The 13,660-nt window shown below is 39.2% G+C and overlaps 1 protein-coding gene across 11 annotated transcripts in view; it reads right to left on the bottom strand.

Moving 5' to 3' along the window:
- The window catches only part of FAT3 (FAT atypical cadherin 3), a 671,656-nt gene that overhangs the window by 469,355 nt on the left and 188,641 nt on the right, over positions 1–13,660 (bottom strand). The window contains exon 1 of one of the 11 annotated variants that reach the window (XM_017017187.2): positions 3,773–11,244. The exons of the other annotated variants lie outside the window; for them this stretch is intronic. The gene's annotated coding sequence lies outside the window, so the exon portion shown is untranslated. Of the gene's footprint in view, positions 1–3,772; positions 11,245–13,660 lie in introns of those variants that run through there. 11 annotated transcript variants of the gene reach the window in all.

Genomic DNA, 13,660 nt, shown 5'->3' with positions numbered 1-13,660 from the left:
TACCTAGGAATACAACTTACAAGGGATGAGAAGGATCTCTTCAAGGAGAATGACAAACCACCACTCAAGAAAATAAGAGAGGACACAAACAAATGGAAAAACATTGCATGCTCATGGATAGGAAGAATCAATAGCGTGAAAATGGCCATACTACCCAAAGTGATTTATAGGTTCAATGCTATACCCATTAAGCTACCATTTACTTTCTTCACAGAATTAGACAAAACTACTTTAAATTTCATATGGAACCAAACAAGAGCCTGTATAGCCAAGACAACCCTAAGCAAAAAGAACGAAGCTGGAGGCATCATGCTACCTGACTTCAAACTATAGTACAAGGCTACAGTAACCAAAACAGCATGGTACTGGTACCAAAACAGATATATAGACCAACGGAACAGAACAGAGGCCTCAGAAATAACACCACATATCTACAACCATCTGATCTTTGACAAACCTGACAAAAACAAGCAATGGGGAAAGGATTCCCTAATTAATAAATGGTGTTGGGAAAACTGGCTAGCCATATGTAGAAAACTGAAACTTGACCCCTTCCTTACACCTTATACAAAAATTAACTCAAGATGGATTGAAGATTTAAAAGTAAGACCTAAAACCATAAAAACGCTAGAAGAAAATACAGGCAATACCTTTCAGGACATAGGCATGGGCAAAGACTTCATGACTAAAACACCAAAAACAATTGCAACAAATGCCAAAATTGACAAATGGGGTCTAATTTAAGAGCTTCTGCACAGCAAAAGAAACTATCATCAGAGTGAACAGGCAACCTACATAATTGGAGAACATTTTTGCAATCTATCCATCTGACAAAGGGCTAATATCCAGAATCTACAAGGAACTTAAACAAATTTACAAGAAAAAAACAACCCCAACAAAAAGTGGGCAAAGGATATTAACAGACACTTCTCAAAAGACAACATTTATGCAGCCAACAAACATATGAAAAAAAGGTCATCATCACTGGTCATTAGAGAAATCCAAATCAAAACCACAATGAGATTCCATCTCACGCTAGTTAGAATGGCGATCATTAAAAAGTTAGGAAACAACAGATGCTGGAGAGGATGTGGAGAAACAGGAATGCTTTTACATTGTTGGTGGGAGTGTAAATTAGTTCAACCATTGTAGAAGACAGTGTGGTGATTCCTCAAGGATCTAGAACTAGAAATACCATTTGATACAATAATACCATTGCTAGGTATATACTCAAAGGATTATAAATCATTCTATTATAAAGACACATGCACACATATGTTTACTGGAGCACTGTTCACAATAGCAAAGGCTTGGAATCAACCCAAATGCCCATCAGTGATAGACCAAATAAAGAAAATGTAGCACATATACACCATGGAATACAATGCAGCCATACAAAAGAGAGTTCATGTCGTTTGCAGGGACACAGATAAAGTCGGAAACCACCATTCTCGGCAAACTAACACAGGAACAGAAAACCAAACACCACATGTTCTCACTAATAAGTGGGAGTTGAACAATGAGAACATCTAGGCACAGAGAGGGGAATATCATACACTGGAGCCTGTTGGGGGTGGGGGCAAGGGGAGGGATAGCATTAGGAAAAATACCTAATGTAGATGACGGGTTGATGGGTGCAGCAAACCACCACGGCACATGTATACCTATGTAACAAACCTGCACGTTCTGTACGTGTATCCCAGAACTTAAGTATAAAAATTAAAAAAAATAAGAAAAAGGAAGTGGCTTTTTGTTGCTACTTTGCAAGTAGCTCAGCCTTCCGTGAAGATCTTCAGGGTTTGCTGATCTTTGGGCCCTCTCTGACCAATCTCAGGACCCAAAGCATGTAGGGCCCATTGAAAATGCTATAATCCTAGAATTCAAAAGCGACCAGAAAAATACCTTTTTAAAAAATCACTCTGAAGAAACAGAAAAGCTTCATTCACAGAGCTGTTCACTACAGCATTATTTACTACAATGGAAAAGAAATGGAAAAAAACCCAAAGATTCCAAAAAGAAATAACTCAAAACAAGTTAAATGTGACACATCCATATGATGAAATATTGTACAGACAATAAACATAACATTTATAAAGGGTGATTATTGTCATTGGAAAGTGTTGTTAAGTCACCTGACAAAAATGCAAGACATAAAAGTATGTAATCAATGCAATCTCTGTTACTTAAAAAAAATCACAGAAAGGAGAGGGGAAGGAAATGCTAAAAAGTTAATAATCACATTACAATCTGATCATAGTCATCATTTTCAATTTATTCTCCTTCATATGTCTTCAGTGTTTTCCAAGTTATAGTTTCTATAATCAGCAAGTAATCCTTCCAAAATTAGAAAAAAATTCAAAACGTAAGGAGGTGAACATCAGGTTGAATATCATGTCAATAAAAAAGAAGTGATAAATGTTTCACTTTGACATTTTTCAGCATGGAAATTTGCAGAGTTCTTCCTCCTTCTTCAAATATCTTCACAAGGCCAAAATTAAATTTCTGCTGGGATATAGCAGCCACTCTATTGCAGTCTACTACTAGACTGCAATAGTGATCAGTGGTCAGTCCTTGCAGCTTCCCAAGAATCAAAGCATTCACAAATTCTCTGGCCATTTTACAAACCCTTCATGGTTTATTCTGGAGCAAGAGAAATAGCAAGTTGTTGAGTAATTATAAAGTTATTGTTGTGGCAAGGTCCATAGGAGAACCACTGTAGCCTTGGCAGACAAGCTATTCTGAAGCATTCTCCTCCAGTCATTTCATAAAAACATTATGTAAAATATTAAAACAGCTTTGAATAAAAATAAGCAGGTATAATTCACATCTAATTCAAAAACTATCAAAATTAGCAAAGTGAGACATCAACCCCTTTTTGTTAATTATTATTTTAAGAAACCACAAGGTCACAACAGCAATATTTAACAAGTTCATAGCTATTACTATGAATGAAAGCAAACAGTGCCAAAGCAATCAGGAAGAATGGGTCAGCTTCAGCAAAGGCCTTTGGACAATAAAAAAACAAAACAAAGCAAAAAACAAAACAAAACAAAACAAAACCTTTGTAGGTGTCCACCCTCCATTTGTCCTCTTTAAATGGTTTAATGGTTAATTTTATATGACAATTTGGCTAGGCCATGAGACCCACTTGTTGGATCAAACACTAGTCTAGATATTACTGTGAAGGTATATTTTAGACATGATTAATATTTACAATCAGTAGACTAAGGGTAAAGCAGATTGTTTTTCAAAATGCAGGTGGGCCTTATCTAATCAGTTGAAGATCTTAAGAGTAACAACTGAGGTTTCCCAAAGAAGAAGGAATCCTCAAGACTGTAACATAAACTCTTACCTGATTGGCCAGCCTGCTGGCCTGCTTCTCCAGCTCCACAATCATGTGAGCCAATTCTTTAAATTAAATCCCCCTCCCCACCCTCTCTCTACAGACATAGATTCAGATATAGGTAGATACGGATGCTGAGAATATATTCATATTCTCTGGAGAACCCTGACTAAAACAGGCAAAGTGACCATATTTCCTAATTAGCGTGAGGCAGTGTGGTTACACCAGTTGTTGTGATATAATTATTAAGAGGTAGCCCTTTCCCTCAGAAACACATCGTGGATGATAAATTACATGATCTCCTTACACGCAGAGCTAAAGATAGATTTATAGTATTCCAAAGTAATGAGATCCTTTTCCTTTCACCCTTGTTTTTCAAACTTCTTCATGACTCACAATAAGAAATATATTTTATGTCACAAAACTGACCTTTATGATGGCAATGCAATGAGCTGTTTTATATTTTATTATGTGTCATTTCCAATGCTCTTTGCAACCGACTAACTTCATGGCATGATCCGTGTATAGGGTCATAACTCAGCTTGCAAAGTACTGACTTGGAGGAATCCATGGCTGTCCAGTGTATTTTGCTGATTATTGTCTCAGGACACACTAAAGACAGGAAGAGAGGAAGAGAGATAGGCATGTCTCAGAGATTTTCCTCTGCCTATACTCCATACAGTCTTTGCTATTATTTCTCCTAAATATAAATGAAATGCTTTTAGTGTAAACACATCAAATAGAAATATGATTCCAGAGCCATTGTCCTTTAGTGAATCTCAAGTTTCCTTTGAGTGACAGACATAGAGAAGGGGGAAGAATGAATAACACTAATATCCTATTCAGTGATGCTGCCTCCAGTCATTTACCTCTAGTCTGGTCAACGTCCCTTGCAAGACAACTGATTTGACCACTAGCCATGCAACGAATATCTACTGATAGACTGTGCCAGCCACAATACAAGGCAAAGTCTTCCCTGCCACCAAGTCCCAGCAGCTCTTTGCTGAAAAAAAGAAGAAAGTCCAAAGCCATGTTCACATTCCAGGCTCTACATCCCACCTTCAGCCTTCTTTTCAGCCTTTTGTTCCTCTTACTACACCCCCTTCTACACCCAACACAACATTTATAGACACTTATACACCCTTGCTTCCTGCCCTCAGCCTCTGGTCAAGCACTCACCTCCTTTGAAAGAACTCTCTCCTGTCTCCTCCATCCTATGTGCCCTGCCACAGTTCTCCTCTTCAAAGGCCCTTTAACCCCATTCCCTTCATAGGGCCTTCACAGATGCTGTCAGTTACTGAAAAGGAACTATAGCTTCAAGATGGAGTTTGGCTCAACCTAGAGGGGCCCAAGTTCAACACAAGCACTTTTCCATCAAAAGTTGCTCCAGGCACTGAAAAAGTGAAGGAGGCTCAGCGAAGTATGAGCAAGAAACAGGGGCAGAAATAGAATTTGAAGTGGCAGGCAAAACATCCAGGGGCTAGTAGAGCCCATTTCAGGAATAAGTGAGTTGGAACTTGAACAAGGAGAAAAATTGTTGTGGAAAGAGGTTGTGAAATAAAGAAAGCAAACTTGTCTTTCTCACTGGTCATTGGAAGGAGAACTAGATGTACTCCAAAGACTTGTGGAGTATAGGCAAAGGAAACTCCCTGAGACATGTGCGTCTCCCTGATGGCACAGTCAAAAAAAGTTGACCAGAGAGCCCAGTAATACATTACTTAAAGGTTTGCTCACTTACAGACAAAGGGGCACCAGGTACAGCTCACAGCCTGTAATGCCAGTCAGACCTGCGTTCGCAACTTTGTTCCATCACACTTGTTGGCTGATTCAGACAAAGGATCTCTCACTGTCTAAATGTCAGTGTCTTCATTTGTCAAACAGGGAGGAAAAAATAGCAGCTGAGCATCAGGAGGAGCTATGAGGGCTCAGCTCGCTGCCTGTTCCTCTACCTGGGGCTGAGCCCATGACCTATCCCTTGCCTTAGCATTTCACCTACCCCACTTAGAGACGGAGAGTTGACTCAGTCCTCAAGAGAACAAAAACAGAAGATATAGCCAAGAGGAAAGGGAAACAAATCTTCAATGTTTTGAGGTCGATTGTCTCTCAATAAAAAGCAAAAATATAATTTTAAGCAAAAGACAATATTTCAGAAAGCTTCCTCTTCAAGTCTGCTTAGAGACAAAAATGTAAGATCTCTAAAAGTTGCTCATGCAAATTTCATAAATCCATGTAAGCACACAATTGCTCAATTACCATACACACGGTCACTTGCCAATAAAACAGGGGGAAGCTGAAAAAATAATTCAGATGCCTTATGCAAGCTTAGATCACTGCACAAACAGACTGAAAGAGGCTCAATAGATATTTAAACAACAAATTAAAACCTCCTAATACAGAACCAGACATCTTCTCTAATTTTGCAGACCATAAAAACTGAATAAATGGAAACTGAATATTTTCTTATCAAAAAATAGAAAAAAATTACCTATTAATGTTTAGGCTCTCAGCAATATGAAACTACTAAATAGCAAGCCACCAAAATTAAGAGTTAAATTCGAAGTGACATTCAAGTGATAGTCAAGTTACAACATTAAAAGTGGTATTTGACAAAAAACTGAAGAATTATTCTTTGGGAAGTATTTAAATAAAAGCATCCAATCCAAACCTGAAAGAGTATGTGGTCTGTTCTTTTGAAACACACATTTCTATTGAATAGTGTAATATCAACAGGCAGGAGAATTATCTGAGACAGGAAAACATCCGCTAATGGAAAATGAGAAAGTTAATAAACAAAATCAAACTGGGTATTTTATGAGCCCTGCTAAAAATACCATTCATAGAAGTAAAATATCATCATTATGACTGAGCATAATAAACCTATTACTAGTCTTAAAGGCTATGTGTGATAGAAATCATTAAAATCAATTGAGTTACTGTTTCTTAGCAATTTGATAAAAAGGAAAAATAGTATAATTGGGAATCAAGTGTTCCTTTGGGAGCTTAAAACAAGCCAGCTGGGTTTGTAAGTGCACTTTAATCTGTTTGTATATTTTTCCCTTGTTTTAAAAAAAGGAAAGGCAAGAAAGATTTACTGAGTCAAGATGCCATAGTCCTGGAATCTGTAGAATTTAAATTATTAGTAAAGATTTAGTTATGATGGATAGTTCTCTCTACTCTTAACCCCCCCATCAAGGAGTTGAAAAGCTGACTGAGAGCTGATTCTTGCCATGTCTTCTGGAACTGCTGAATCCTTCAGGACAAGAACTTTGATGTGAAATCCCACTCGATACTAAGTTGAGTGGGAGACAAGAAGAGGGGTTATAGAATGTCCCCCTGAACTAAGACTGAGCATAGCTATCCACATGCAAACTTGGTTCAGCCTTTTCTACCACTGCATCCTCATGGAGCAATCTATAAAAGTGTGGCCACTTTTGGGAAAGCAGAAACCATGATGTATGGACTTATCAAAAAGACCTTTTCCATTTATGATTTATAATTATCATCCATAAGTGGTCCTAATAAATATTAAACACCAGTAAAATTCTAAGGCAGAAGTCAGCAAAGTTTTTCTGTAAAGAGTCAAATTGTGAATATTTTGGGCTTTGTGTGTCAGATGGTCTCTGTGCCAACTACTAGACTCTGCCCTTGAATGACAAAACCTGTGTTCCGTTAAAACTTTATTTACAAAATCAGGCAGCCAGCCGGCAGGCTTTACTTTGTTGACCCTTGCTCTGATAATCACCTACAGAAATAAGAATGGGCATAAAATCTAAACGGACTCTCTGTGTTCCTCCTGTCTTGGTTATCCTTAAGGAAATGATTTCTTATATAAACCAAATTTCCTATCTTCCCGAAGACACTAAGAGGTTAAAAGGTTATCCTCTCAAGATGGCAAGTATCCTATGAGCCAACAGGCTATGATTTTGTCATTTAGCCTGAGAAATGGCAGGAAGTCTTGCAGATAAAAGGAGTCCATCTGAAATCGACTCACTAGATCCTGATTCTCATTTATCTCCTTTAAGACTAGTCAGGGTCCCTGGCTTTAGTGACAGGTACACAGCTGGAGGTTAAGAAATATAAATCAGTAACACCAGTAAACAATATAAAGTATGGGAAAAGCAGAAAGTGGACATTCAAAATACCAATCCAATCATGAAGATAAGCGCTATTACAACACACCTAAGGATTAAAGAAAGCTGAGGTATAAAAGAAATATAAAGATACTCCCCTATCTCTTCTCTGTATCTTCCAATTAGTCTTCATGGGAATCTTCAGTTTTTTCAAGCCCCTAACTCTCTGTTCTAGGCATCCTATACCAGAATTAACAAAAACTGGAGCCCCATGAATAGTCTGGATCTATGCAAGTTAATTAGATCCCTCTCACCTGCAACCTATTACAAGGTTCCCCAGAAGCCATTTCTATTTAGAAATGTGGAAGTCCTTTAAACCACATTTAAGAATGCTACACAAAGATGAAAATAGGAGCATAGCACATCATGAAACATTAAAAGTTAATAGCAACACAAACATTCAGCTTTTAAGAAAGCTGTTTTATAATTTGATCACTTACATAAGGAAAATAAAATCCAGAGGTCACATAGTAGCTCTGGTTTCCAAAGGAGCACTAATAAATGAGAATGGCATATGAATTGGGGGTAGGAGAACAAGGAGCCTGTGCCCAAGAGCTTTCACTCAGGGAATGTAAGTCAGGGGTCTGGTGGAGAGGGGGTTAGGGAAACACTGAAGTTCCTTTTGAAAACTCTTTTGCTTCATCTGTAATATTTAAAAGACAGATTGTTGTTTGGCTTGGAGGTCCAGATACTATAAAAATGTTTTCTCTCCAGGCCCAGTGATTTCCTAAAAGCTATCATAGGCACAATTTTGTTTTGGAAAGACTGCAAGCATTGTAAGGACAGGGCTCTCTCTTTGTTATTTACCAACAGCACCAAGGCAATTCCCAGCAAGATATGCCCATAAAAACCAACTTTTGGAAACAGCTTTGATTCAGAAAAGAATCCAAGCAAATTCCCTAAGCAAACTACTTTATGCATCTGTCACTACTGCAGACAGAAATGAGCACGCACAGGTATGCACCCTCTTGGCATGGTCCCCAGAGTGGTAGGGCCAATATGCAGTTCAGATGGGTCCTGGGGAGGCAAGTACAGTGAGGCAGACTCACTGTAAGTAGCATCCTTACCAAAGGTGCTCATAGCCTTCTGATGACTTGGCATGCAGCAGGGTCACATTTGGAGGATAACAACCAGGACAACAGCAAGGCACAGAGTCTAATCGATGCCAAAAATTGTTATGATGAAATCTTTGTTTTCTCTGTGTGTGTGTGGGGGGGTGGGGGGGGTGTTTAACTTTTGCACTGAAGTTTGTTGCTGTTGTTGTAATTATTCCTAAATAATAATTTTTTAAAGTATTTTTTTCTAGCCTACCAAAAGTTGGCTTCTTTAAGGTCTAAGGGGACCATTACCTAAAATGCATTCACTAAATGATGGATTTACTAAGAGATTTGCTAAGTGACATGAAATACCTCGGTTATCCAGTATAAGGAAATTTTCCAGACACATGAATTATTCTCCTTCATTTGCGGAAATCAATTAAAAGATGTTTTGATTGTTGATGGAATAGAGTTGGAAGAGAATTTAGATAATCTACATACAAAAACTCATTTTGATCAAGAGGCAAGTGGGACTTCAACAAGTGACTTGCTTAAGTTCACATTCCCAATCAGTGAGGAGACTAGAATTCCCACCTGAAAATCATCCCTGCTACCCCTCCACCCCCATTAACTCAACAGGAATTCATTAAGCACCTGCTGGTTTAGGGGTAAAGCACCTTCTATATCTACTGCTATTGTCCTCTCCTAAGTTTAAGGAGAATAGTTCTCACCTGAGCTTAAGGACAACCATCACTTGGAGATCCACAGTGAGCTGCAATGGTTCTGTGTTAATAATCAGGAAAGTCAGGGTCTATTACTTAATGTGTTTTGTTGTTTTGTTTTACTTTTAAATGTTTGGTTAGTCAATTTTCTCTCATCAAGAGTGGTTTAAGACTAAAAAAATTCCCACCTATGAAACTTTGCCCATGCTATGGCTCTGCCCAGTATATTTTCCATTGTGTATTTTTTCCCTTTCTATTGAGTTCTGATCCACCTGTCAAATGGCTTCAGATATCACTTCCCCTCTGAAGATTTCCCTGATTCATACACTCCTTCTCTAGGAATGAAAACAATGACCTCTCCCAGGCTTATTATTTACCTTAAGCATATTTCTGTGGCTACAATCACTGATTACACTACTTTGTATTTATTGGTTTATACACCTGCCTTCTGACTACATAATATGTTTCAAGAGGACAGAGACCATATCTTCTCATTTTGTTATCCCCATAACTCAGCAATGCACCTAAGAGGCATCCAATACATATTATATTGAATTTGAGAGTGTGTACAATTTAAAATAGATTCCCTGTAATGAGTTTAGTTATCTAATAAGAAACACAACCCTGTTACCAGTTGACAGTGAACTCTTCCCCACAGCTGTGATTTAGAAAAAACTTGCATAATAGGTTAGCATTTTTAAAATAGGAAATGAACCACAACAAAATCACCATGGATTCTTAAGAACTATCAAAACAGCAGGTTATGCAAAAACAGTGACGTGTAGAAATTCACCTCTAAACCCAAAAGGAGAGCTTATAGAATCAAACAGTTGCCTCAATACCTTCATTATCCTTTATTCTTCTACTCTGGCCCTGATTTTGTCCTGTCTGACTGGTATTTTCCAAAGCACACATCCAAGCTGCCCTGGCGAAATGCCCTAGGATACTGCCTAACTTCCCACATCTGTCCTGGTGCTCATCATCATCTGCTCCAACCAAAGGTCAAATGCATCAATCTTTCCCAGCAGGATGTGGACAGATCTGCATCTGTAAAGGATGCTAGAGGAGCCATCCAAAGAGTCCCACCAATTTCTGTCTGCGTTCACCCTCTTAACTGGAACCTGCTACACAAGGGCATCTCACAGGTGACCTCACGCCCCACTAAAATCTCATTACTTAGATGTTAACTGCTTTCCAAGGACTGGCTTTCTATTTGAACTGTTTTCACATCCCAAGTAAGTCAGAGCTGTTTAGTCGATAAAGCACTGACAGAGTTTGGAAATAATCTGAACCAAGTGGCTCTTCAAGTGGTTTCTTAGATGCGCTTAAGAAAACATCATATCCATTTTCCCAATTAGAGAAAAATGTGTAAAATACACTATCCATTTTCCCAATTAGAGAACAATGTATAAAATACACTAACTTGAGTGTCATATAAATTAATTATCATTGATTGATGTTAACGTGGAAGGTTTTTTTTCTTTCTTTCTTTTTTTTTTTTTTGAGATGGAGTCTCACCCTGTCGCCCAGGCTGGAGTGCAATGGAGCGATCTCGCCTCACTGCAACCTCCGCTTCCTGGATTCAGGTGATTCTCCTGCCTCAGCCTCCCGAGTAGCTGGGGTTACAGGTGCGTGCCACCACACCTGGCTATTTTTTTTTTTTTTTTGTATCTTTAGTAGAGATGGGGTTTCACCATGTTGGCCAGGCTGGTCTTGAACTCCTGACCTCGTGATCTGCCCACCTCAGCCTTCCAAAGTGCTGGGATTACAGGCACCAGCCACCATGCCGGACTTTTTTTTTTTTTTTTTTTTTTTAGGCTTCCAGGAGACTGCCTGTGTGGAGATGGTTGGCTCTGAATCACGTGGAACAGGGTTTAAAACAAAACAAAAGATAGCCAGGCATGGTGGCACTTGCTTGTAGGTCCAGCTACCTGGGAGGCTAAGGATGAAGTCAACATCCATTAAGTCCAGAAGTTTGAGGTCAGCCTAGGCTACACAGACACCTAATCTCTTAAAAAAAAAAAAAAAAAAAAAAAAGCAAAAATGCTTATGCTAAAAGATTGGTACTTTTTCTAATACAATTATTCACACATTTATCAACTTTGGGGTGGTAGGAGCTATAATAAAGTACATTTCAGGTCCCCATTTGCACGTTGCAAAGCTAGTAACAGGGAAACCCTGCAAAATTAGTCCTAGGTGTCAGATGCTTTGAACCATCTGCTGGCAAATGGATTTATGCCTACTGTCCTTTCCAACACTACAAATGTTATTTTTCCAACCACAGCAATCTAGTGTCTTCTTAAACCACAGCCACTGGCATCTGAAGCATAGAGGTAGAGTACAGTCTAATAAGGCCCCACATTTCCGAAACGATGGCCAACATGAGGTGAATCAAATGCAATCCTGCTGCTCCAGTGATGCAGGAGGACAGATTAGCTAATGGCCTGAAGCATCTGTTCCCACTCCAAGGATCCTGACTCCATGCCCATCCTTATTCAGACATGCCAAGAACACACAAACATCTAGGAATGTAATACCCAAGGCATATAACAAATGAAGAGGCTGATCAATCTGTGGAATGTCCTCAGCACTCACTGCTGAATAAACTAGATCAAACGAGAACACATTTTAATTTCTGAAATGGCAGGATTATTCTAGGTTTGTAACTTATAAAGAGAACAAGTTAAACAAGCACCATGGCTATCCACACTGAAATTGGCAGGAAAATCTATTTTTCTTTTCCCAGCACATCAGGGCAAGAAAGTTTGGTATTTTTCAATTCAGAAGGTCCTGAAGCAGCGATGTCACTGCAGAAATATTAAAATACAAGCCAAATGTATCTAAGTAAGTGTATTCTTCAGAATTTTTTTTTTTTTTTTGACGAAATCTTGCACTCTTGCCCAGCCTGGAGTGCAGTGGCAGGATCTCAGCTCACTGCAAGCTCCGCCTCCCGGGTTCATGCCATTCTCCTGCCTCAGCCTCCGGAGTAGCTGGGACTACAGGCGCCTGCCACCAAGCCCGGCTAACTTTTCGTATTTTTAGTAGAGACAGGGTTTCACCGTGTTAGCCAGGATGATCCCGATCTCCCGACCTCGTGATCCGCCCGCCTCAGCCTCCCAAAGTGCTGGGATTACAGGCATGAGCCACCACGCCCGGCCTATTCTTCAGATTTTTAAAAGCCCAGCGACAAGAGGGTAGTGTGTTTTGTTCTGCTGAGAAAATTATCCTTTTATTGTATAGCTTTGTCAACCATGTTTCCAAGAAAGAAAATCATCCAAGCCCATGTGTTGTATTTCTCCTAGGCAGAGGTAGTGGAGAAATACAAAACTAATGCAATGCTTTAAAAAAGTAAAATAAGAAATGACAGACTACATTTAAAATTTTACAAAAGTAACTACATTTTATTTTGCAATGGAAAGCCACCAATGACTGAGCTTGGCAAAAGAAGAATGACCTAGGAAGTATAACTTTCTAATTGACTTAAAGTACTCTGTATTGACCAGATCACCAAATCCGTGGGGTATTTTTCTAGTTCTCTTTTTAAGCATCAAACTGTCAATTGTTCTCTAGTTTCTGGAGCAGTTGTGGTTTCATGAAAGGTTCTAGTTCCTCAATCATGAATTGGGTGGGGATAAGGGGCAGGTGTCCGTGATCTCTCTCAGCTTGTTTTTAGACATGTGAATTTTGTTAGCAAGATAACTCAAAGCAAAGCCTAAGGAGTGAAGCCAAAAGTGACAAGGATAGGAAATTATATCTCAGTATGCCAAACAAGAGAAAATCCTAAGGACTGAGCATCATTAACCAAGCAGCAACCCACCAAAGAAGGGCGCATAAGGCAGCACCGCCAGACCTCCACACGCAAAATGCAAAACAGACAGAGAAAGTGGGTGTGGCTGTTACCTGTTTCTATAGCAACTCCTGGAAGGATAACCTGTGCCAGCATCACCAACATGCATGCACAGATCCCAGAATTAGGGGCAGAATTGGACCAATAAAACTGTGTCTGTTTCGTGAGAGGACTCACTGAGACCAGCCATGCCTTCATCTCAGTTCTGCTAAGAAACTTTCCTCTCCCGCCTGTCAACATATATGGAAATAATATTCTTGGTGAAAGCTCAAATGATTATATAGAAAAGTGTCTTAAATTTTCAACTTTGTGCTGTTCAGCAAACCCACCCCGATACTATTTCCTTTTTTATGGCTTGTCGTTCAAGCAGGGAAAGCTGAAATTCTAGACATTCAGTTGAGTATGAAGGGGCCTCTTATGGCAAGATCCAGCATAGGGAAAGCCAATTCAGACAGAGGAAGCTCTCAAAACTGAACCTTTCCTTTATCCCCTTCCCACAGAAACAGAAAAACAAGAAAATGATAAGAACACAGAGGTGTAGTTGGAGAAAAATGTGACCCCATTTGACAGGTGTTATCTAA

Source organism: Homo sapiens, chromosome 11, assembly GCF_000001405.40.
Source record: "Homo sapiens chromosome 11, GRCh38.p14 Primary Assembly".
Lineage (NCBI taxonomy): Eukaryota > Metazoa > Chordata > Mammalia > Primates > Hominidae > Homo > Homo sapiens.
The sequence above is the reverse complement of the archived record's forward strand: the minus strand, read 5'-3'. Positions and strand labels throughout refer to the sequence as shown.